Here is a 27,064-nt window from a genome sequence, read left to right as displayed (position 1 = left end):
TAGGACCATAAAATAAAATGGAAATCTGTTTTCTTTTCGGAGCAATGTGATTACCATCACAAGTAATGATATTATGGGAGGAAAAATATATTGTCTGCTAGGACACACACTTTTCCTTTTTGCCTTGGCCTTTGTTTCTTCCTTTGAAGTGACTATAGTAAGTAAGACCTGGATAACTTGGGGTCATCCCAAATGTTACACCCAAGTGCCCAAATTTGGCATTTCTTAAACAAAAAGATTCAGAATCCCCAACATACAGTCCCTTCTCTCCACCAATTCTAAAAGCATTTTGGTTTTTATTTTTTAAACCCCTTTGGTTGTATTCATAGTATGCAGATTAAAAGATGAGTGCAGAATTATTCTTATAGAAAGACTGATTTAAATTGGAAATGGAGCTAGGTATTGAGGAGTTACAGAGGCTAAAAAACTAGAAATAAGGTCTTAGCAGGAGGAGGCCTAGGTATTTGATTTTTTTTTTTTTTTTTTGGTAATATAAAAGGAGGATTTGGAGCAAGGATTATAAAGCAGGAGTAAGCGGTTTGAAGAGAAGAAAGAATAAGGTGATATATGGCAAACCCAAAAGAAGCTTGTATTTTATTTCATTTTAATTAGGGATTTAATGTATTTGTGAACACTGAAATTATAAGGAAGCAGAATAGAACTAGACAGAATAGTAGTTAGGATTTGAAATTTTAAAAATTATTTTCCTAATAAAAATGTGACAGTTGATTAGGGATAAGGGGATGAAGAGCAGAGCAATTAAAAGAAGGGCTTTCAGGATCTGGGCCAACAGTCAAAGAAAAACTGAATGAAGGATACTCGTCGATGAAAAGAATAAGGGAGGACTCATAGTTAGGAAAGAGGGAGTCAGAGAAAACAAATCCTTTGTACCAGGCATTGAGAAAGCAAAAAAAAAAAAAAAAGTGGGGACAGAGAATGCTGATGACTGACCAGAGGTGCAGATATAACTTCTTCTGTTGCTTATTTTTTTCCTCTAAAGTCTTAAGTGTTTATATTTACAACTCTCTTTACAGAGATCTTTAACATTTATTCTCTCATTACATCTCAATAGCATTCTTCTATATTTAGGAAAATAGCATGGGTCTCATTTTACAGATGGTGAAGCTGAGGCATAGATACGAGAGACTCTCAAATCATATTTAAAGTAAGAACTTAGAGTAGATTGCAAGTCCTTTGTTTTCTAATTTAACCACCTTACGACTATGCCTTCCCATGGGAGTTTCATGTCACTGCTTCTCCCTTTTCCTTGGCCTAGGCAGAGGGAAAAGATCTACAGTTCATACTCGAATATCAAACAATTTTTTAAATTAGATAGTCACCTTTAAAATCTGAAGAGCTGCCAGGTAGAGGAAAGACTACACTTATTCTATTTTCACACAAAAGACAAGACCCAGAGTAAAAGCTGAAAGCCATGGGAAGGTATATTTTCTAAATATTATTTTAAAACATTTTAATACTTAAAACTTTTAAACTTTTTCATGTTTAGAGTAGTTTCTTTATTGATAATGAGTTCCCTGTTACATGAATGTATCAGGCTGTTCTTGCATTGCAATAAAGAAATACCTGAGAAGGGGGAATTTATAAGTGAAAGAGGTTTAATTGGCTCACAGTTCTGCAGTGTGTACAGGAAGCATGATGCTGGCATCTGCTCAGCTTCTGGGGAGGCCTCAGAAAACATACAATCATGGCAGAAGGAGAAGACACATTACACGACCAGAGCAGGGATAAGAGCATGAGAAGGAGGTGCTACACACTTTTAAACAACTAGATCTGAAGAGAACTTACTATTGCGAGGATAGTACCAAGGGGGATTGTGCTAAGCCATTCATGAGAAATCTGCCCCCATGATCCAATCATCTTCCACCAGGCCCCACCTCCAACATTGGGGATTACATTTCAATATGAGATGTGGGTGGGGACACACATACAAACTATATCAATCAGGCATTCAGGTAAAGACTGACTGGCCATCTGTCAAGAATATCATAGAGAAAGATGCCACCTAGATGAAAATTGAACTTCATGACATCTAAGAATTGTTCCAAAATTCGTATGCTCTTTGTTTTTCTTTGATAGTTCAAGACGTACATGTTTGCTAGAACAGAGCAATCATCTGCCGAGTCAGAGGAAAATAAGCAAAGAAAATCTAAATAAATAAAGACAATAATCCCCCCATACCTTTGGAAATGTAAAAGCTGATGATAATAGTGAGAGGTGAAGCCAGCTGGACTTCTGGGTCAGGTGGGGACTTGGAGAACTTTTCTGTCTTACAAGAGGATTGTAAAATGCACCAATCAGCACTTTGTAGCTAGGATTGTAAAACGTACCAATCAGTGCTCTGTGGCTTGCTAGAGGTTTGTAAAATGGACCAATCAGCACCCTGTAAAATGGACCAATCAGTGCTCTGTAAAATGGAAGAAGCAGCATTCTGTAAAATGGACCAATCAGTAGGATGTGGGTGGGGACAAAAAAGGGAATAAAAGCTGACCACCCCAGCCAGCAGCGGCAACCCGCTCAGGTCCCTTTGCACACTGTGGAAGCTTTGTTCTTTTGCTCTCTACAATAAATCTTGCTGCTGCTCACTCTTTGGGTCCATGCCATCTTTAAGGGCTGTAACACTCACTGCGAAGGTCTGCAACTCCATTCTTGAAGTCAGCAAGAGGACGAACTCACTGGAAGGAACCAACTCCAGACACAATAGGAATCCTTCTCTGGCTAATTAATATATTTCCTCTTATTCTTTTCAAAAAATTATTTGACAAACTTCTTGTGGGTGAGATAGATTTCCTAGACTTAATCAGTGTGTTCTTTCTTAATGGATGTGTGACTCTTCAGTATGAAGAAATTCTGATCTAGATCTTGATATTATATTTGTGGATAATTGGAATACAGCATTTCAATACCCAGAAAATTTGTGAGCTCCTCCCTGAAATTATTTTAAAATACTTGTATTATTAGCTTAATTTTCTCCTGATTCAAAGCATATAAAATAAAATATTTTAGTAGTTAGTTGAATAATCCATGAAAGCTCAAAGCTTCAGGTCATATTTGAGCCACGACTAATGCATTTCACTGAGTCTTTACTGCATTTCACTCGCCATAAAGTTTCACTAGAGTTAGGACTACCAGACTCAATTTAGGTTCATTATCAACAAGTTATGGCTGATGCATCTAATTTCTTTCTTAAAAAGAATTATTAGATTGAATAATCTTCCATAGCAAACATAAGCATAATATGCCTGGACTTTAGCAAGGGATTTAATGAGGTCACTAACAATGACCTTAACAAAAGATTAAGAGATTTGGACTCGGAAATAAGGGCATTTTAGATGGAGAATTACGATTTTTAAATATCCAGACTAAAATGGTACTAAGCAAAGGATACACATTAGGAAGGAGAGCATTTTCCCTTAGTTGTGTAGCATGCAAAATGATTTCCAAAGTCTTGGATGGTGACATAGAGGGCATGGTCATCACATTTGCAGATAAGACAAGGCTCAAAATGGATAAAGTGCATGCTAGATATTACAACCAAACTGCAAAATTTAGCTGGCTGTGATGGCACAGGCCTGTGGTCCGAACTGCCCAGAAGGCTAAGATGGGAGTGTTTTAGCCTGTTTGTATGGTTATAAGAGAATACCTGAGGTTGGGTGATTTAAAAAGAAAAGAGGTTTATTTGGCTCATGGTTCTGCTGACTGTACAAGAAGCATGAAACCAGCATTTGATTCTGGTGAGAGCCTAAGGCTGCTTCCACTTGTAGCAGAAGGAGAAGGAGAGCTGGTGTATACAGATCACATGGCAAGACAGAAAGGAAGAGGGTCAGGCTCTTTTCAACAACCAATTCTCAGGGGAAATCTAGTGGGAACTAATAGATCCACTCACTCCCCCTTCCCCAGGGAGGGCATTAATCTATCCATGTGGGATCTCCCCCTATGACCCAAACACCCCCCATTCAGTCCCACCTTCAACAGTGCAGATCAAATTACAGCATGATATTTAGAGGGGCCAAATATCCGAACCATAGCAGGAGGATCCCTTGAGCCCAGGAGTTCAAGGCTGCAATGCTCTATGGCTGCACATCTGCATAGCCACTGCCCTCCAGCCTAAGCAACACAGTGTGTCCCTGCCTCTAAAATATAAAAACAAAATAGCCTCCAAAATGTCTGTTAGACTGAACTGAAACATTGGTTTTAATAAGATTAAATTGAACAGAGATAAGTGTATGTGCATTTTAGACTGGAAAAGCAACCCTACCTGAAAAGATGAGGTAATATATCACACAGCAACATCATACATAAGGTCTTAAGGATTTTAATTTACAATAAGCTGAGTTTAAGTAATGTGATGCTTCAAAAAAAAAAAAAAAAGTGAGCCTAGGCTAAATTCATAGAAGCACACAATCTAGAATGAAGGAATTTATGTCAACTCTTTCATGATCAGATCATAGCTAAATTGTTGCATTTTTGTTCTAGGCTTTGCATTATTTTAACGGATTTTAGTTAGAAGAAAAAAACTAAACCTACAAGATAGATCAGAGTAAGGATGGGCCTTAAAACCACACTTGTTGAAGAAACATCAAAGGACATAAGACATTTTAATCCAAAGAGAGTATGATTACTATCTTCAAATATTTGAATGGCTTGGATGTAACACAGATGTTAGATTTGTTCCATATGACTCCAAAAAGTAGAATTATTAGAACAAGTGAATGGAAGATAAAAGAGGGAAATCATAGTTAATCTGAAGAGGAATCTTCTTATAGTCAAAAGCATACCAAAATTAAGTGGGTTGCCCCACTACAGGTTTTTAACCACTGACTAGATGTCCACGTGAGGATGTTGTAAAATGTATGTATTCTGTAGCATCTGGACTGTGTAAACAAAAACAAAACAACATCTTCAAACAATTGAAAGTTTACTATTCTAGGGCAGATAAAAGAATGCCAGAAAACTGAAGCTTGATTTCCTTCCTTTCCAATTTGCCCAAACCATTTATTCTCTCCTTACTTCTATTTTCTTGCCTGTGAAATGTAGGTAATTCTATTTGTCATTTCAGGCCAGATGGGAAAGTCTGTAAGGAGTTTGGAGCCTAGAGTATTCCTCACCATAAATTCTCCAGGTGTTTCTGTTACTATTTTCTAGAAAGATGTTCAAAGTTTTCTGCTTGAATGAGAATCAAGTTCAAAGTTTGGGAGAATGCCCTCAAATTATTTCTTTTCCTCTTTCAAAAATAAAAATTGGACGTGGTTTGGTTCAATCAGTCTCCTTGATAAGGCAAATAGCAATACAGCTGCTGGATGTTCCCAAGGCTTTACATGAATTGTGTTTCGCTAACCCAGGAACTCCCAGGTTTTACTTAAACACATTGTCCTAGCACCAGCTCATCCATCATGCCAGTCTCTAAACAAACGAAGGCCAGCCTGCCCAGGCAGAGCTGAACAGGAGGCAACAACTGGAGGATTAAGACCAATTCCAAATTGTACTTGCAATACATTTCAAATATTAACTCAGTTTTTGACAGTATTTTTCTTGAATCTAATATTTCTTTTCTTAGATCCTTTCATTTCTAGACCTATTTACCCAAAAGAAGAGCAAATCAATTAAAAAAAAAACAAAGCCTCAGAAAGAAATGCCTGATAGCTCATATAGTTCTTCTATGACTCAAACACAAGAGGGAAGGAGATAAATGGAAAATCACAAGGCAAGTATGAATTTCCACAAAATGCTAAGATTTTTCATTTCAAAATATCTGACTTCTAAATTAAACACACCTCAGCATTTCTGTAATGATTATGAATAAAGCTTTTATTTTTGACATCCTAATTACTTTTGTTGACAGGTTTTTTTTTGTTTTTTTTCTGTTTTGTTTGTTTAAATCAAAAGAAAAAAATAAAGCACTCAATTCTGCCATGATTTAAAAAATGTCAAAGAATATAAGGCTATTTGTTTGGCTAGATCCATTGATTGAAAATACTCCATTTTTAGAAAATGGTGATGAAGGATACACCACATTAATTTTGTAAAGTGTGAGAAGGCTCCAAAAAGGAGAATAATCATAATGCATAATCATATGAGTAGGCTGTCAGAATACAATGAAAATAAATATCACACTTTTTCAAAGATAGACAAATTATGCATCTGAGTGAAGCTCTTAAATAGCTCTATAATGCTTCTGCCAAAGGAGATAACTCATAGCAGACATTTGTTGTGTGACTGTGGATTTATAATTTTAGTTGAATGATGTCATTGATTGGGGGTATAAATATCAACCATTTTCTCAGCATTCAATTTTTTTAATTGTTTCCTCTGTATTCTTCATGCTTATTTTAATTTGGAGAAGAGGCACAATTGATATGTTCTGTATCTAATTTATAATCCAACATGCAAAAGGATCTCTCGGTTTTGTTAGTTTACCTATGAGATCATCCATGCATTTAGGGCTAAAGCAACTGAGAATACAACAGGAATCAAAAATATAGTAAAGTAATGGCTATCATGCGTAAGAGGAGAGACTATGTTCATTATTAATGATAAGGAACATTGTTATTGGATCTTCAAATTTCACATCAAGTCACATGGCATCCCAGAGCTATTGGTGCACAAGTGTTCAGATAGAAATAAAAATAAAATCATCTAAAAATTTTCTCTTATTCAATATTATACAGATCAAACATTTTGTTTTTAAAATTAATTTTATTTTGCTTTATTATATTTAGTTTCCATTGTGGACCAGAGGAAAACCTTATAAAACTCCAAGCAAATATTTGACACCTATTCTTTGTATTTGATCACTATACATGAAAATGGAATGTGATCAGAGGCCAGAAAATAAATATTTTAGGCTTCGTGAGCCATACTGTCTTTGCATCTCTGTTGCAACTACTCGACTCTGCTATTGAAAGCAGCCATTCAGTCATAAATAGCCTACCAAACAAAAAAAACTCCAGGACCTGACAGATTTGCAGCTAAATTCTACCAGAGGTACAAATTGCTGATACCATTTCTACTTAAAACTATTCCAAAAAATTAAAAAGGAGGGACGCCTCCCTAACTCATTCAATGAAACCAGCATCATCCTGACCAAACCTTGGCAAAGATACAACAAAAAAAGGAAACTTCAGGCCAATACCCTGATGAACATCGATGCAAACATCCCCAGTAAAATACTGGCAAACCAAATCCACCAGACATCAAAAAGCTTAACCACTATGATCAAGTGGGCTTCATCCCCAAGGCTGGTTCAACATATGCAAATCAATAAATGATTCATAACTTAAACAGTACTAAAGATAAAAACCACATGACTATCTCAATAGATGCAGAAAATACCTTCAATAAAATTCAACATCCCTTCATGTTAAAAACTCTAAATAAGCTAGGTATTGAAGGAACATACTTCAAACTAATAAGAGCTATATATGACAAACCCACAGCCAATATTATACTGAAAAGGCAAAAGTTGGAAGCATGGCCCTTGAAAACTGGCACGAGACAAGGATGCCCTCTTTCACTACTCCTATTGAACACAGTATTGGAAGTTCTTGCCAGGGCAATCAGGCAAGAAAAAGAAATAAATAATATTGAAATAAGAAGAGAGGAAGTCAAACTGTCTTTATTTGCAGATGACATGATCCTACATCTAGAAAAACCCATCCTTTCAGCCCAAAACTTTCTTAAGCTGATAAGCACCTTCAGCAAAGTCTCAGGATACAAAATCTACAGCATTCATATACACCAACAACATGCAAGCAGAAAGCCAAATTGTGAATGAAGTTCCATTTACAATTGCCACAAAAAGAATAAAATACCTAGGAATACAGCTAACAGGGCAAGTGAAGGACGTCTTCAAAGAGAACTACAAACCACTGCTCAAAGAAATCTGAGAGGACACAAACTAATGGAAAAACATTCCATGCTCAGGAGGTTCAACATCATGGAAGAATCAACATCATGAAAATGGCCATACTGCCCAAAGCAATTTATAGATTTGATGCTATTCCCATTAAATTACCATTATCATTCTTCACAGAATTAGAAAAAAAAATTTTTAATTCATATGGAACCAAAAATGAGCCCAAATAGCCAAGACAATCCTAAGCGAAAAGAACAAAGCTGGAGGCATCAAGCTACCAGACTTCAGACTATACTACAAGGCAATAATAACCAAAACAGCATGGTCCTGGCACGAAAACAGACACACAGACCAGTGGAAAAGAATAGAGAACCCAGAAATAAGACCACACACCTACAATCATCTAATCTTTGACAAATCTGATAAAACCAAGCTATGTGGAAAGGATTCTCTATTTAATAAACAGTGCTGGGAAAGCTGGCTAGGCAGATGCACAAAATTGAAACTGGACCCTTTTCTTACACCATGTACAACTCAAGATGGATTAAAGATTTAAATGTAAAACCCAAAACTATGAAAACCCTAGAAGAGAATCAAGGCTTTTTAAAATATGTTTGTTGGCCACATAAATGTCTTCTTTTCAGAAGTGTCTCTTCATATCCTTCAACCACTTTTTGATGGGTTTTTTTTTTTTACTGTCAATTTGGTTAAGTTCTTTGTAGATTCTGGATATTAGCCCTTTGTCAGATGGATAGTTTGCAAAAATTTTCTCCCATTCTATAGGTTGCCTGTTCACTCAGATGATAGTTTCTTTTGCTGTGCAGAAGCTCTTTAGTTTAATTAGATCCCATTTGTCAATTTTGACTTTTGTTGCCGTTGCTTTTGGTGTTTTAGTCATGAAGGCTTTGCCCATGCCTATGTCTTGAATGATATTGCCTAGGTTTTCTTGTGGGGTTTTTATGGTTTTAGGTCTTACATTTTAGTCTTTAATCTATGTTCAGTTAATTTTTGTGTAAGGCGGAAGGAAGGGGTCCAGTTTCAGTTTTCTGCTTATGGCTAGCCAGTTTTCCCAACACCATTTATTAAATAGGGAATCCTTCTCCATTGTTTGTTTTCATCAGGTTTGTCAAAGATCAGATGGTTGTAGATGTGTGGCATTATTTCTAAGGCCTCTGTTCTGTTCCATTGGTCTCTATATCTGTTTTGGTACCAGTACCATGCTGTTTTGGTTACTGTAGCCTTGTAGTATAGTTTGAAGTCAGGTAGTGTGATGCTTCCAGCTTTGTTCTTTCTGCTTATGATTGTCTTGGCAATGCAGGCTCTTTTTTGTTCCATATGAAATTCAAAGTAGTTGTTTTCTAATTCTGTGAAGAAAGTCAATGGTAGCTTGATGGGGATAGAATTGAATCTATCAATTACTTTGGGCAGTATGGCCATTTTCACAATATTGATTCTTCCTAGCCATAAGCATGGAATGTTTTTCCATTTGTTTGTGTTCTCTCTTATTTCCTTGAGCAGTGGTTTGTAGTTCTCCTTGAAGAGGTCCTTCACATCCCTTGTAAATTGTATTCCTAGGTATTTTACTCTCTTTGTAGAAATTGTAAATGGGAGTTCACTCATGATTTGGCTCTCTGTATGTCTGTTATTGGTGTTTAGGAATGCTTGTGATTTTTGCCATTGATTTTGTATCCTGAGACTTTGCTGAAGTTGTTTATCAGCTTAAGGGCTTTTGGGCTGAGATGATGCGGTTTTTTAAATATGCAATCCTGTCATCTGCAAACAGAGACAATTTGACTTCCTCTCTTCCTATTTGAATACGCTTTATTTCTTTCTTTTGCTGATTATCCTGGTCAGAACTTCCAATAGTATGTTAAATATGAGTGGTGAGAGAGGACATCCTTGTCTTGTTCTGGTTTTAAAAGGGAATGCTTCCAGCTTTTGCCCACTCAGAATGATATTGGCTGTAGGTTTGTCATAAATAGCTCTTATTTTGACATACATTCCGTCAATACCTAGTTTATTGAGAGTTTTTAGCAAGAGGGTGTTGAATTTTATCGAAGGCCTTTTCTGCATCTATTGAGATAATCATGTGGTTTTTGCCATTGATTCTTTTTATGTAATGGATTACATTTATTGATTTGCATATGTTGAATCAGCCTTGCATCCCAGGGATGAAGCCAACTTGATTGTTGTGGATAAGCTTTTTAATGTGCTGCTGGATTCTCTTTGCCAGTATTTTATTGAGGATTTTCGCATCTATGTTCATCAGGGATATTGGCCTAAAATTTTCTTTTTTTGTTGTGTCTTTGCCAGGTTTTGGTATCAGGATGATGCTGGCCTCATAAAATGAGTTATGGAGGATTCCCTCTTTTTCTATTGCTTGGAATAGTTTCAGAAGGAATGGTACCAGCTCTTCTTTGTACCTCTGGTAGAATTCAGCTGTGAATCTGTCTGGTCATGGGCTTGTTTTGGTTGGTAGGCTATTAATTACTGCCTCAATTTCAGAACTTTTTATTGGTCTATTCAAGGATTCAATTTCTTCCTGGTCTAGTCTTGGGAGGGTGTATGTGTCAGAAATATATCCATTTCTTCTAGATTTTCTAGTTTATTTATGTAGAGGTGTTTATAATATTCTCTGATGGTAGTTTGTATTTGTGGGATCAGTGGTGTCTCCCCTTTATCATTTTTTTATTGTATCTATTTGATTCTTCTCTCTTTTCTTTTTTATTGGTCTGGCTAGTGGTCTATCTATTTTGTTAATCTTTTCAAAAAACCAGCTACTGGCAAAGAGCCAAGAAGAAGCAGCACCAGCTTTACAAGCCCTACACCAACAGAAATATTGCAAAGGATCCCACTTCACTAGAAGAAGAGATCAAAGAGATTCGTTGAAGTGGCAGTAGTAAGGCTCTGGACAACACTCCAGAGTTCCAGCTCTCTGACATTTTCTACTTTTGCCGGAAAGGAATGGAGACCATTATGGATGATGAGGTGACAAAGAGATTCTCAGCAGAAGAACTGGAGACCTGGAACCTGCTGAGCAGAACCAATTATAACTTCAGGTACATCACCCTTCAGGTCACGGTCCTGTGCGGGTTAGCAGGGCTGATTTGGTACTGCTTCCTGCTGCTGCGCAGGATAGCGCTGGCCTTGACAGGGATTAGCCTTCTAGTGGTGGGCACGACTGTGGCGGGATACTTGCTTCATACCTCGCCAATCGATGTGATCATCTTGGCCAGCGATGGCTATTATGCCACAGTGGGTCAAATGCATGGGGGACTCATAGGTTTGATTCAGAGAGCCATGGTGAAGACTTGCCCACACATCTGGTTTGAGCGCTTGGAAGTGAAGGATCGCCACCTGCTGGCTAAGAGACTGACTGAACAAGTGCAAGATATAAGCAAGCTGCCTATCCCTCATCTTCCCAGAAGGAATTTGCATCAATAATACATCGGTGATGATGTTCAAAAAGGGAAGTTTTGAAATTGGAGCCACAGTTTACCCTGATGCTATCAAGTATGACCATCAATTCGGCAATGCCTTCTGGAACAGCAGCAAATAAGGGATGATGACTTACCTGCTGCGAATGATGACCAGCTGGGCCATTATCTGCAGCATGTGGTACCTGCCTTCCATGACCAGAGGGGCAGATGAAGATGCCGTCCAGTTTATGAATACGATAAAATCCGCCATCGCCAGGCAGGGAGAACTTGTCGACCTGCTGTGGGATGGGGGCCTGAAGAGGGAGAAGGTAAAGGACATGTTCAAGGAGGAGCAGCAGAAGCTATACAAAAAGATGATTGTGAGGAACCACGAGGACAGGAGTCGCTCATGAGCTTGCTTCGAGCTGGCTGGGGCCACCGTGTGGAGTGATCCCGGGCTAGGAGCTGGAGTTGCCGCCGCTGCCTCCACTGCTGCATCCTTTCCAGAATCCAGGGCTCCCTGGGCTGCTCTGGATCCCAGGACTCTGGATTTCACCAAGCACAGTGGGATCCCTGTGCACCGGAGCTACCTGCCCTTGGCGGTATGAACGGATGCTGCTGGGTGTCGCGACCCAGGATAAAATGCCTTGTTTCTTTTACAATAAGTTGTTGGAGGTGTCAGGCCTCTGAGTCCAAGCCTGCACGTGTACATCCAGATGGCCTGAGGCAACTGAAGAACCACAAAAGTTGAAAATGGCCAGTTCCTGCCTTAACTGATGACATTACCTTGTGACATTCCTTCTCCTGGACAACAAGTCTCCGGAGCTCCCCGCCGAGCACCGTGTGACCAACCCCCCACCCCCACCCCGCCTCACTGCCCGAAAGAGAACAACCGTCTTTAACTGTAATTTTCAACTACCTACCTGAACCTTATAAGACTGCCCCACCCCTATCTCCCTTTGCTGATTCTCTTTTTGGACTCAGTCCACCTGCACCAGGTGATTAAAAAGCTTTATTGCTCACACAAAGCCTGTTTGGTGGTCTCTTCATACAGACGCGCGTGACATTTGGTGACGAAGACCCAGGATAGGGGACTCTTCTGGGACACCGGTCCCCTGTCCTTGCCCTCACTCTGTGAAGAGATCCACCTACAACCTCTGGTCCTCAGACCAACCAGCCCAAGGAACATCTCACCAATTTCAAATCAGGTAAGTGGTCTTTTCACTCTCTTCTCCAGCCTCTCTCGCTACCCTTCAGTCTCCCTGTCCTTCCAATTCCAGTTCTTTTTCCTCTCTAGTAGAGACAAAGGAGACACATTTTATCTGTGGACCCCAAACTCCCACGCTGGTCATGGACTCAGGAAGACAGTCTTCCCTTGGTGTTTGATCATCACGGGGATGCCTGCCTTGATCATTCACCCACATTCCATTGGTGTCTGATCACCACAAGGACACCTGCCTTGATCATTCATCTACATTTCCTCGGTGGCAAGTCAATTGCGGGAATGCCTGCTTTGGCTGCTCACCCACATTACAGCCCAGGGCTGCTCACCACCCCCTTCTCCGTGTCTCTACTTTTCTCTTTAAACTTACCTCCTTCATTATGGACAACCTTCCATCCTCCAGTCCCCCTTCTTCTCCCTTAGCCTGTGTTTTCAAGAACTTCAAATCGGTCCCTCCCTAATCTCCGCTCCCAATGTGACTCATCCCAAATCTTTCTTTCTCTCCTGTCTGTTCCTTCAATCTCCACCCCAAGCTCTGAGTCCTTTGAATCCTCCTTTTCTGTGGACCCATCTGACCTCTCCCCTCCTCCCCAGGCTGCTCCTCACCAAGACGCGCCGGGTCCCAATTCTTACTCAGCCTCCACTCCCCCACCCTATAATCCTTCTATCACCTCCCCTCCTCACACACACCTCCCCTCCTCACACTCTGGCTTACAGTTTCTTTCTGCAACTAGCCCTCCCCCCACCTGCCCAACAATTTCCTCTTACAGAGGTGGCTGGAGATGAAGGCATAGTCAAGATTAATGCTCCTTTTTCTTTATCCGACCTCTCCCAAATCAATTAGCATTTAGGCTGTTTTTTATCAAATATAAAAACCCAGCCCAGTTCATGGCCCTTTTGGCAACAACCCTTAGATGCTTTACCGCCCTAGACCCAGAGAGGCCAGAAGGCCGTCTTATTCTCAATATGCATTTTATTATCCGATCTGCTCCCGACATTAGAAAAAGCTCCAAACATTAGATTCTGGCCCTCAAACCCTACAACAGGACTTAGTTAACCTCGCCTTCAAGGTGTACAATAATAGAGAAGAGGCAGCCAAGTGGCAACGTATTTCTGAGTTGCAATTACTTGCTTTCATTGTGAGAGAAACTCCAGCCACATCTCTAGCACACAAGAACTTCAAAACACCTAAACCGCAGTGGCCAGGCATTTCTCCAGGACCTCTTCCCCAAGGATTTTGTTTCAAGTGCTGGAAATCTGGCCACTGGGCCAAGGAATGCCCACAGCCCGGGATTCCTCCTAAGCTGTGTCCTATCTGTGCAAGACCCCACTGGAAATCAGACTGTCCAACTCACCCGGCAGCCACTCCCAGAGCCCCTGGAACTCTGGCCCAAGGCTCTCTGACTGACTCCTTCCCACTTAGTGGCTGAAGACTGACACTGCCTGATCAGCTCAGAAGCCTCCTGGACTATCACAGATGCTTTGGGTAACTCTTACAGTGGTGGGTAAGTCTGTCCCCTTCTTAATCAATAGGGAGGCTACCCACTCCACATTACCTTATTTTCAAGGGCCTTTTTCCCTTGCCTCCACAACTACTGTGGGTATTGACAGTCAGGCTTCTAAACCTCTTAAAATTCCCCAGCTCTGGTGCCAACTTGGACAACATTCTTTTATGCACTCCTTTTTAGTTATCCCCACCTGCCCAGCTCCCTTATTAGGTTGAGGCATTTTAACTAAATTGTCTGCTTCCCTGACTATTCCTGGGCTACAGTCACACCTCATTGCCACCCTTTTCCCCAGTTCAAAGCCTCCTTCGCATCTTCCCCTTGTATCTCCCTACCTTAATCCACAAGTATGGGATACCTCTACTCCCTCCTTGGCGATCATGCACCCTTTATCATCCCATTAAAACCTAATCACCCTTGCCCCACTCAATGCCAATATCCCATCCCACAGCAGGCTTTAAAAAGGTTAAAGCCTGTTATCACCTGCCTGTTACAACATGGCCTCTTAAGGCCTACAAACTCTCCTTACAACCTTTCTATCCTACCTTTCCAAAACCAGACAAGTCTTACAGGCTGGTCCAGGATATTCGACTTATCAACCAAATTATCTTGCCTATCCACCCCATGGTGCCAAATCCATATATTCTCCCATCTTCAATACTTCCCTCCACAACCCATTATTCTATTCTGGATTTCAAAGATGCTTTCTTTACTATTCCTTTATACCCTTCATCCCAGCCTCTCGTTCCTTTCACTTGGATTGACCCTGACACCCATCAGTCTCAGCAATTTAACCCGGGCTGTACCGCTGCAAAGCTTCAGGGACAGTCCCCATTACTTCAGTCAAGCCCTTTCTCATAACTTACTTTCTTTCCATCCATCTGCTTCTCACCTTATTCAATATTTTAATGACCTTCTACTTTGTAGACCCCTGTGAAACTTCCCAAAAGGACACCCTCCTGCTCTTCCAACATCTATTCTCAAAAAGATATTACATATCCCCCTCCAAAGCCCAGATTTCTTCCTCATCCATTACCTATCTCAGCATAATTCTTCATAAAGACACACGTGCTCTCCCTGCTGATCATGTCCAGCTAATCTCTCAAACCCCAACCCCTTCTACAAAGCAACAACTCCTTTCCTTCCTAGGCATGGTTGGGTACTTTCGCCTTTGGATACCTGGTTTTGCTATCCTAAAAAAAAACCCATTATATAAACTCAGAAAGGGAAACCTAGCTGACCCTATAGATCCTAAATCCTTTCCCAACTCAATATTTACACTGACTCTAAACATGCTTTCCATATCCTGCACCACCATGCTGTTATATGGGCTGAAAGAGGTTTCCTCACTACACCAGGGTCCTCCATCATTAATGCCTCTTTAATAAAAACTCATCTCAAGGCCGCATTACTTCCAAAGGAAGCTGGAGTCCTTCATTGCAAAGCCATCAAAAGGCCTCAGATCCCATTGCTCAAGGCAACAATTATGCTGATAAGACAGCTAAAGAAGCAGCCAGTATTTTTCTTTCTCCTCTATCACTCCCACCTACTCTCCCACTGAAACTTCCGCGTATCAGTCTCTTCCCACAGAAGCCAAATGGTTCTTGGACCAAGAAAAATTCCTCTTTCCAGCCTCACAGGCTCATCCCATTCTATCATCCTTTCATAACCTCTACCTTGTAGGTTACAAGCCTTACTAACCCACATCTTAGAACCTCTCATTTCCTTTAAGACATTTGCCCTTCATATCACTCCATCCTTGGCTACCTTCCCCTTCTTCTTTGAACTCTTCTCCTAGCCTCTCCTCTTGCTTGCTTATACCCAGCCCCATGAATAGCAGTGAAAGGTTACTCATACACACTATGCGCTTTCTCATACACCATAAAAATAGAACCTCCCCCCTACCCAGTTGCCCCATCAATCCCCATTACAACCTCTAAGGGTTGCTGCCCTCACTAAATCCCTAAGAGTCTGGGTGCAGGGTTTCAAAGATGCTTTCTTTACTATTCCTTTAGACCCTTCATCCCAGCCTCTCTTCACTTTCACTTGGACTAACCCTGAGACCCATCAGTCTCAGCAACTTAACCTGGGCTGTGCTGCCTCAAGGCTTCAGGGACAGCCCCCATTACTTCAGTCAAGCCCTTTTGGTGCTCCCTCTCATCTTTTCACTTTACATTTCCAGTTTTGCCTTACAAAGGTCTCTTCCTCCTCTGTGATTCCTCCACCTACATGTGTCTATCCATCAATTGGACAGGCACATGTACACTAGTTTTCTTTACCCCCCAAAATCAATTTTCAAATAGGGCTGAACAACTTCCTATTCCCCTTATGACACCAACACTTCACTACTATTTTGTTTTTTATTATTATTAATATAAAAAGACAGGAATAGTCCTCAACTTACTCACTACTGAAAAAGAAAGACTCTGTACATTTTTAAATGAAGAGTGTTGTTTTTACCTAAATCAATCTGGCCTGCTACACGACAACATAAAAAAACTCAAGGATAGAGCCCAAAAACTCACCAACCAAACAAATAATTACACTGAACCCCCTTGGACATTCTCTAATTGGATGTCCTAGGTCCTCTCAATTCTTAGTCCTTCAATACCTGTTTTTCTCCTTCTCTTAATCAGACCTTGTGTCTTCTGTTTAGTTTCTCAATTCAAACAAAACAGTATCCAGGCCATCACCAATCATTCTATATGACAAATGCTCCTTCTAACAACCCCACAATATCACCCTTTACCCCAAAATATTTCTTCAGTTTAATCTCTCCCACACTAGGTTTCCAAGCCACCCCTAATCCCTCTCGAAGCAGCCCTAAGAAACATCACCCATTATCACTCCATACCACCCCCCAAAATTTTTGCTGCTCCAACACTTGACCACTATTTTGTTTTGTTTTTCTTATTAATATAAGAAGACAGGAATGTCAAGCCTCTGAGCCCAAGCCTGCACGTATACATCCAGATGGCCTGAGGCAACTGAACAACCTCAAAAGAAGTGAAAATGGCTGGTTCTTGCCTTAACTGATGACATTACCCTGTGACATTCCTTCTCCTGGACAATAAGTCTCCAGAGCTCCCCACTGAGCACCTTGTGACCCCTGCCACTGCCCGCAAGAGAACAACCTCCTTTAACTGTAATTTTCCACTACCTACCCAAATACTATAAAACTGCACCATCCCATCTCCCTTTGCTGACTCTCTTTTCAGACTCAGCCCGCCTGCACCCAGGTGATTAAAAAGCTTTATTGCTCACACAAAGCCTGTTTGGTGGTCTCTTCACATGGATGCGTGTGACAGGAGGAATGCCACTAAAGTCAACTCCCCCACCTGTGCACGCTGTGTGGGCTCAGTGGTTGGGGAGATGTGGCCACGTTCAAGTGCTAGGGGTGTGGGACAGGAGTCTGTTATGCATACCCATGTGCCAGGGACATGCTGGGGCGGCCACTCACTCTGGAGGAGAGGCACAGCTGAGACATTGTGGCTGAATTTGGCCTCAATGTCACCCCCAGCCTTGGAGCTCTGCAGACATGATAGGAAGGAAACTGTCATCTGCAGGGGCTTTCAGCAAAACGAAGGGTTAGATTCTTATGCTGCTGCTGATGGGGCCACCAAAGGGAGGGGAAGAGGCCAAGTGGGCCACTGACTGGGCCATGGTGAGAACCAAGAGTCACATGTGTTCATACTCCAGGCTAACCCTGAACTCCCCATGTGATGTGCACTCTGTTGAATGTGTGCCTCGGTTTCCCCATCTGTAACATGAGTCGGGGGGAAGGGTGGTGATTCCTACTTCGCAGGGCTGTTGTGGGGATTAAAGTGCTGTGGTGAATGAAGGACACGTCATGTTCAGTGTTTCAAGTACAGGCCTACAAAACAGGGCAGGGCAGGTCTGAGCTCAGAGCTGCTGCACCAGGCTTTGGATTTGTTTTTGTGAGTAAATAAAACTGACTGGTGAATGAAAAACAAACAAACAACAACAAAATAACTCATTTCATTGATTCACTGATTTTTTTTGAAGGGTTTTCTGTACCTCTGTCTCCTTCAGTTCTGCTCTGATCTTAGTTATTTCTTGCCTTCTGCTAGCTTTTGAATTTATTTGCTCTTGCTTCTCTAGTTCTTTTAATTGTGAGGTTAGGATGTCGATTTTAGATCTTTCCTGCTTTCTTCTGTGGACATTTAGTGCTATAAATTTCCCTCTCAAAACTGCTTTATTTATGTCCGAGAGATTCTGGTACATTGTGTCTTTGTTCTCATTGCTTTCAAAGAACTTATTTATTTCTGCCTTAATTTCATTATCTACCCAGTAGTCATTCAGGAGCAAGTTGTTCAGGTTCCATGTAGTTGTGCGGTTTTGAGTGAGTTTCTTAACCCTGAGTTCTAGTTTGATTGCACTGTGATCTAACAGACTGTTATGATATCTGTTCTTTTGCATTTGCTGAGGAGTGTTTTACTTAAAATCATGTGGTTGATTTTAGAATAAGTGTGATGTGGGGTTCAGAAGAATGCATATTTTGTTGATTTGGGGTGGAGAGTTCTGTAGATGTTTATTTGGTCATTAGAGAAATGGAAATCAAAACCACAGTGAGATACCATCTCATGCCAGTTAGAATGGAGATCATTAAAAAGTCAGGAAACAACAGATGCTGGAGAGGATGTGGAGAAATAGGAACACTTTTACACTGTTGGTGGGAGTGTAAATTAGTTCAACCACTGTGGAGAACAGTGTGGTGATTCCTTAAGGATCTAGAAGCAGAAATACCATTTGACCCAGCAATCCCATTACTGGGTATATACCCAAGGATTATAAATCATGCTGCTGTAAAGGCACATGCACACATATGTTTATTGTGGCACTATTCACAATAGCAAAGACTTGGAACCAACCCAAATGTCCATCAATAATAGGATGAAGAAAATGTGGCACATATACACCATGGAATACTATGCAGTCATAAAAAAGGATGAGTTCATGTCCTTTGCAGGGACATGGATGAAATCGGAAACCATAATTCTCAGCAAACTAACACAGAAACAGAAAACCAAAGACTGCATGTTCTCACTCATAAGTGGGAGTTGAACAATGAGAACACACGGACACAGGGAGGAGAACATCACACACTGGGGCCTGTCAGGGTATGGGGGCTAGGGAAGGGATAGTATTAGGAGAAATACCTAATGTAGATGATGGGTTGATGGGTGCCACAAACCACCATGGCACATGTATAGCTGTGTAACAAACCTGCACATTCTACACATGTATCCCAGAACCTAAAGTATACTAATATAATTGCAAAAGCAATTGCAGCAAAAGCAAAAATTAACAAATGGGATCTAAATAAACTAAAGCGTTTTGGCACAGCAAAAGAAACTATCATCAGAGTGAAGAGGCAACCTACAGAATGAAAGAAAATTTTTGCAATCTATTTATTTGACAAAGATCTAATATTCAGCATCTACAAGGAACTTAAACAAATACACAAGAAAATAAAAACAACCCCATTAAAAAGTGGGCAAAGAATGTGAACCGACACTTCTCAAAAGAAGACATACATGTGGCCAACAAAAATATGAAAAAAGCTCAACATCACTGATCATTAGAAAAATGCAAATCAAAACCACAATGAGATACCATCTCATGCCAGTTCAGAATGGTTTTTATTAAAAAGTTTAAAAAAAAAAGATGCTGGTGAGGTTGCAGAGAAAAAAATGATTTTATACTGTTTGTAGAAGTGTAAATTAGTTCAACCATATGGAAAACAGTGTAGCGATTCCTCAAAGACCTAGAGGCAGGAATACTGTTTGACCCAGCAATCCCATTACTAGATATACACCCAAAGGAATATAAATCATTCTATTATAAAGACACAGATATGTGTATGTTCACTGTAGCACTATGCACAATGGAAAAGACACGGAATCAACATAAATGTCTATCAATGATAGACTGGACAAAGAAAATGTGGTAAATAGATACCATGGAACACTATGCAGCCATAAAAAGGAACAAGATTATGTCCTTTGCAGGGACATGGATGGAGGTGGAAGCCATTGTTCTCAGCAAACTAATGTAGGAACAGAAAACCAAACATCACAGGTTCTCACTTATAAACGGGAGCTGAATGATGAAAACACATTGACACATAATAGGGAACAACACACACTGGGGCCTGTTGGAAAGTGAAAGGTGGAAGGAAGGAGAGCATCAGGAAGAATAGCTAATGGATGCTTGGCTTAATACTTAGGTGATAGGATGATCTGTGCAGCAAACCACCGTGGCACATGTTTACCTAGATAACAAATCTGCACATCCTGCACATGTAACCCTGAGCTTAAAATAAGTTGGAAAAAAGAAAAAGAAAGCAGCCACAGACAATATGTAAAGAATGAGGTTGGCAGTGTTCATAAAACTCTATTTGAAAAAACAGGTGGTAGCCCAAAATATCTCACTGGATGTAGTTTACCAACCCATAATGTAGATAATCATGGTGTCTGTATCAAATTAAATGGAGCCTAAGTGAGTCATATGGTTCATGTAGTTATAGTTGTACATTCTCCATTTTTATACATAATACAACAGAGTTTCAAAGTGACTAAAGGATTTCACTACAGCCAAACAGAATAAACAGCTTTCCTATTGGTTTAAAAATGAAAAATTTAGCCAGGCATGGTGGTACATGCCTGTAGTCCCAGCTACTTCGAAGGCTGAGGCCAGAGGGTCATATGAGCCCAGGAGGTTGAGGCTGCAGTGAGCTATGATCATGCCACTGCACTCCAGCCTGAGTGACAGAGCAAGACACTGTCTCAAAGAAATAATAAAATAGAAATAAGAATAAATAAAAAATTTCTTTCTAATTGCACCAAATTGTATATCACGATCTCTGCCAGATCTCCAAATAATCATCCCAAAATACATCAAGATGAAGTTAATTTAGTCTGACTAACAGTTTTGAGTTGGTCAGACTAAGGACAAACATTGTCATTAACAAGCTACACATTTTAAATTGACCCATCACAGTTAAATTTCTTGTGAACTATTCCAATAAGTTTTGCATTATGGAAACTCAATTCACAGATTTATCTCTGTAAGTATGGTTTGTAATTTTTGGTAGCAAAACAATGAGAAATTGTAAAATTAATTTGTCGAATAATGAACTGTGGTCAGTACAGCATATGCTAAAAGACATGCAAACTATGCTCTCTGAAAAAGCCTACATTCTACTTGGGATAGAATATAGTTCATTTCAACACACTTATTAATCAGTTATTATATGTCAGGCAAAAACCCATAATTTACTGTCCACCTTTGAGAAGCTCATAGACTAACAGGAGTATGAAAGAGAGCACATCCATATTTGAACCTCCTTTTTCAGCGAATCTCCTTTTTCATTTATGGCACACAACATACTCTTTGTCATGCTGATTTCTTGCTCATGTGCTTCTCCTTTTCTGTAGAACAGTTTCTCCCACTAGTGCACAGAGAAGGAGGACTTGCAACATTTTAAGTAAGGATTCTTAGAGAATTTGAGGAGTGAATTGAGATAATCCAGGTAAAGATGTGAAACACTGCACTACTGAAAAAGCAAAGTGCATGAGTGAGGAAATTCTGTCATGAAGTGTCCTGTTATGTACCATAAACTACAAACAGAATAGGCAAGGAAGGGAATTGCAAAAGATGTGGCCGGAAAGTTGGAGAAATTAGGTCATAGAGGGTCTCACATTCCTGTGCATAATTACCAGACTGGATATTTACCCTGTACACTTTTTAAATCTGCATCCATTTGACATACAACTTGCATGCACCAGCCCCCAACACTAACACCATTATACACACTTAAAGATTCTGATGTGCCCCTTGCATTGGAGGATGCAGAAGAGAAACCTGACAGAAAGAAATAGGGAGAAAAAAGCTAAAGGTTTTTAATCAAGTTGTTAGTGATTTGGTGTTTGATACAAAGCCTTAATCCTCTTTTCTCCCCAAAATCGTTTATAAAATGTATATTACTGCTAATGCTTTCTGAAGTTAAATATGTTTTCTGAAGATTTCATGAATGCAGAGTTTGGCTTCAAGAGCAAAGATTCTCCATGGAGACCTGGTCATATGTTGGTTGTATTAGTATTTCCTATTTTTCAGAAACTGTACTCAGTGCTACAAATGGAAAGATGAATTCTACGTGAGGAGACAAACACTAACAAATAGTAATCACAGCACTGCCATAAGTGTTAATAAAAAAAAGCAGGCTTATACTATTTTACATGGAAAGAGGAAAAAATGATTAATTTTACTAAGAGAGGTCCTGAGAAGGCTTTCCAAAGGAGATGATATTTGAGCTGACCTTTGAAGCATAATTAAGAGCTTACCAGAAAGAGAGGAGTTAGGAAAGTCATTAAAACCAGGAAAAAAAAATCTTAGAGAAAACATTGTGTTTTAGAAAACTGTACATAGATTCATGTGGTTGAAATGCAAGTTGTGTGAGGATGATAAGGCAGAAGTCAAATCACAGAGTCATGGAGAGGAGGTAAGAATTGCTGGTTTGAAGTCTTAGAAGAACAAAATAGGATTAATGGGATCAATACATATGACTAAGCTAAGCCCTGAAGAATGGGTAACATTGATTATCATAAACAGATCACCCAAGGCGGTCCTCATCATGTCTTTTATCTTCTATATCCTCTTCAGTACTTAATCAGTGCTGAGAATAAGATGGTATGCACATGCAACCTGCTTTACTGATTACCTAATTGCCACAAAGACCACAAGAAATCTATTTTGGATCTTCAGATAGTCCTCAAAGTACCTAACCACCAGATCTGTAGAAGAGAATATATTCCAAAATAGTCATTAGTATGAAAGAATGCTGAAGGATGCTACAAAGATTTGGAAGGATTTTATATGAATTATATAAATCATTTTATGTGATTCATAAATTTATTATTTTATATGCATCATATAAATCATTTTATGTGATTTATAAATATATTATCATTTTATATGAATCATATAAGTCAAAAATCATAAAATATATACATGATAATTATATCATATATATCAGATTTTTAAAAATCTAAATATATCATTGATATTAATAAAAACTTTATATATATTTATATATATTATATATAATTACACATGATCCTTCTACATTTTTGAAGCATCCTTCAGCATTCTTCCATACTAATGACTATTTCAGAAGGTAAGTAGGTAGGTAGATAGATAGATACCAGTTTTTATTTATATCAGTGATTATATATATACACACACACATATTATATATTTAACACACATATGTCCATTTTTAACACCTGTATTCTAGAATATTGGAGGCCACATATTCTACACACACTCCTATTTTTCTTTTAAGATATAACAATGTCAAATCATGCAGGCCACTGAATATATATTCTACCACTATAAATTTCTTTAAAACATACTTATTGGATATTTAATATGTAAAAGACAAAAATGGTGTGGTATTCTTTTTATTGGCATGTGAAGAATCTATAAAATAATGATACAAATCAAGTTAAAAACAACATATAAAATATCATTCTATTTGTATTAAACTATTTATATAGGTATATTTTATATGTGTGCATGTGTTCACACACACACATATTGACTCAAACTGGTTCCATTCAGAGCTTTTCTTGCATCTGCCTTGTTTTTCATGCTATGCAGTTTAAGATCTTTTTTAAAAATAAAATCAACAAGAAAATAAAAATTATTGAGCATTAATTACCTTTTTAAATATGCACTTCAAGTTCATTAAGTCTCAAAACCTTAGCAACATAAGAAACAAGATTTTAATGTGAAATCTCATCACAGAGCACACAGGAGATGTTATTTTCTTAAAGGGATACATATGTCAATAACCCTCCATGCAATGAAATTGGCCCATTTTTTAAAAAATAGTCTAGGGCCAAATTTCTAGACTCCATAATGAAATGGTGGAAGCTTGTCTTTTAGAGGAGCTAAATCACTAGCCTACTCACTGTTGTTATCCCAGCTTCAAATTTCATTTCAGATTATCCATTTTAATAAAAGAGTCTGTATTATTTACCTTTGCCAAAAAGGTTTTTAATCCCCTCATTAAGATTTTTAATAGATATTGCAAGTCTAGGACAAGAGCCACTAAGAAGTAATTTTAAATAACTACCTTGTCAGCCTCATAGGTTATACTGGACTGAAGAAGAGTGATTCGAACATAATAAACCAGAGAATGTCAACACCTGTTTTGCCATTATTTTAACTTGTGTTTAATGTCTTTTTGCATTAAAACTGTATTAAAGACCTTCAATATAGTATGACAGGGCTATACTGTATGGAATAGTAATATTTTAAAAAATCAAATGCAGTTTAAATGTTTAGAGTATTTATGTTCTTTGTGGTTCAGATGAACACAATAGCTAAATCATTACTGATAAGATTAGTGTCAGGCTTGTCATTTTTGTCTACAACAGCCTGAGGAAAACTTTGTGAAATTAGAGGATCAGAAGCAGTAAACATGATGGAGAACAATAATCTGAAGGAAAAAACCACAAGGAACATCACATGTAGGTAAATTCCCCCTTAAAGGGGAAAAAGAGAACTCCGTCTGAAAGTTGAACATCTCTTGGAGGATTCTGTAAGAATCTGAAGAATCTTTTAATTAACCTGAAATTAACCTGAAAAAAGTTAATGCTACCTGAAATGGTGCTGATGGTTTGAGAATATATGGCCAAAATGAGTAGTAATATGTTCAGTTTTACTCTTTAAGCTTATACTGTTTTACCTTTTATTTATATAGGTAGATATATTTCAATCCCCAACAGCCTTGCCATTATTTTAACCCAAGCTATATCTATCTACCTTTCTATCTGCCTCTCTATAAATAAGGATATATAGTATGGATATATATACATACATATATATATAGAGAGAGAGAGATAGAGAGAGCTAGTATAGGTCCATATAGATATATCTATCTAAATATATAGATCTACTCCACATAGAGATATCTAGACATATAAATAGCTACAGATATTAATATATGAATCTAGATGTCTATATATATAAATATCTATAGGTATAGAGACAGAGAGAGAGACATAAAGTGAGCTTTTGTTTAAGTATGGCCCTAAAAACGTGAGGCTCTTATCTCAGCTGTTTTTTGGTTAAGAAAGTTGGTATGAGATTAATCACATATCACATAAGACTTGATGTAAATATTCCTTTTGTCACATTTCTACCTACTTTTACCACCAGGCTCTATCCACAAACTTGTCATTTATTTGTGGAATATTTTATCCACAATTAGCTTTTCTGTTTTATAAATGTACAAACATAAGTCAGTACCTTTTTTCTTTTCTTTTCTTCTTTTTTTTTTTTTGAGACAGAATCTGAGAACCTGAGTCTAGCTCTGGCTCTGTCACCCAGGCTGGAGAGCAGTGGTGCGAACTCGGCTCAATGCCACCTCCACCTCCTAGGCTCAAGCACTTCTCATGTCTCAGGTGGAATTATAGGTGCCCACCGCCACGCCTGGCTAATTTTTGTATTTCTAGTACAGATGGGTTTCCACCATGTTGATCAGACTGGTCTCAAACTCCTGGCCTCAAGTGATCCACCCACTTTAGCCTCCCAGAGTGCTGAGATTACAGGCGTGAGCCACCGTGCCTGGCCAGTAAGTCAATATCTTCAAAAGAGATCAGATGTCTTGCTAGTTTAAAAAGGTGGAGCATCAGGACATTGGCATCGTACAGAGTCAGTGAAAGGAGCAAGTGTTAGAGAATGTGTCAGTGCCACCTGAGGAAGGAAGGAGCTTGTACCTTAATGAAAGCATTATTTCCTTTAATGTGACCGTGTCACCAGCAGACCCAGAGTAGTCAGGGCATGCTAATCCACACACACCTTCTCACTCAAGTAGTGGCCCACGATTAGTAAAACAGACCTAAATAAAGGCCTGGGATGTTTTCTACCATTCTGCTTATTTAGATTTGCAAAACAAGCCAGCTTTCCAAGATCTGACATTTTCTTTCAAGTTCTATGACTGCTCTTCAGATGTGCTGCCACCAGTGTGGGTGATGTCTGTGCTGTAGTATTAACAACAATGGCAAAAATGATAATAGAAATACAACTGTGGACTTGTGAAATGAAATAATAGATTATCTAATCCAATGGTTCCTAAATATTATTTTTCTGCTTAGCTGGAGAAGAATTTCAGTAAAGAAAAGTTTATTTAGAAGACCAATTAAATCAGATAAAGGTGGAACTATTCTAGTGAACACAGGGTACCAACGTCTTTCTCCAGGTAGTGCTGAACTAGGGTGCAATGGAGCACAGTGTAAACATCACAGCTAGCAAGTCTCCTGCCTCACGGCCAGAGCTCACCAAATGGCCGCCATGTCCTGTCTTTTTATTTAATGGATGGAAGAACTAAGCTCCTTTGAATGGAAGCAGCTTCTCTAAGATCACAGAGGTGATAACAGAGCTATGAATTCACTAACAAAAAAAACAAAACAAAACAAAAATTCAAGATACAAAAACTAAATTTTTATGGTAATTCCTAACTTCCCTAGCACTTCTAAATTGATTTAACTGTATTTGATAATTAAAATCACCTTATGGCTCAGATAAGGTGGGGTCTTTTCCTTATACTAGTCTTACTCATGATAAACTGAGGCTCAAGGAGGAAGAAGATTTGTCCCAAGTAAACTTTCTTGTAAGGGGTAGAGGTGGTTTTGGAATGCAGGCTCTTGGAACATGGTTCAATGTTTTATCCATTGCGTGAAGTCCTTCTGTTTCATGTAAAAAATTTTCCCATAAGTATCAAATTACTAATGTCAAAGAGATATCCACATGTTTTTCAACTAAATTATTCCTTCAAAACAAAAACTGGAGTATATTAACAACTAAGCATTAATATAAAGAAGTAGTATGGTTAAATGATACATCACAATGTAAAGAGGTAAATTGGGTGCCTCAATTCTCAATTAATGATAGCTTAGCTCAAAATAAACAGCTTTCCAATTTATTTTAAATCTCTTTTAGCTCTTATGGAATT

General features: G+C 38.9%; 1 long non-coding RNA gene and 1 pseudogene across 1 annotated transcript in view; one reads left to right on the top strand and one right to left on the bottom strand.

The window, feature by feature from the left end:
- The window catches only part of LOC112268135 (uncharacterized), a 93,016-nt gene that overhangs the window by 1,413 nt on the left and 64,539 nt on the right, over positions 1-27,064 (bottom strand). The window lies entirely within an intron of this gene.
- LOC401767 (glycerol-3-phosphate acyltransferase 4 pseudogene) lies at positions 10,657-17,987 on the top strand (annotated as a pseudogene).

The sequence above is a fragment of the Homo sapiens genome, chromosome 14 (assembly GCF_000001405.40).
Source record: "Homo sapiens chromosome 14, GRCh38.p14 Primary Assembly".
Taxonomy (NCBI): Eukaryota; Metazoa; Chordata; class Mammalia; order Primates; family Hominidae; genus Homo; species Homo sapiens.
This window is presented reverse-complemented; position numbering and strand designations above follow the sequence as displayed.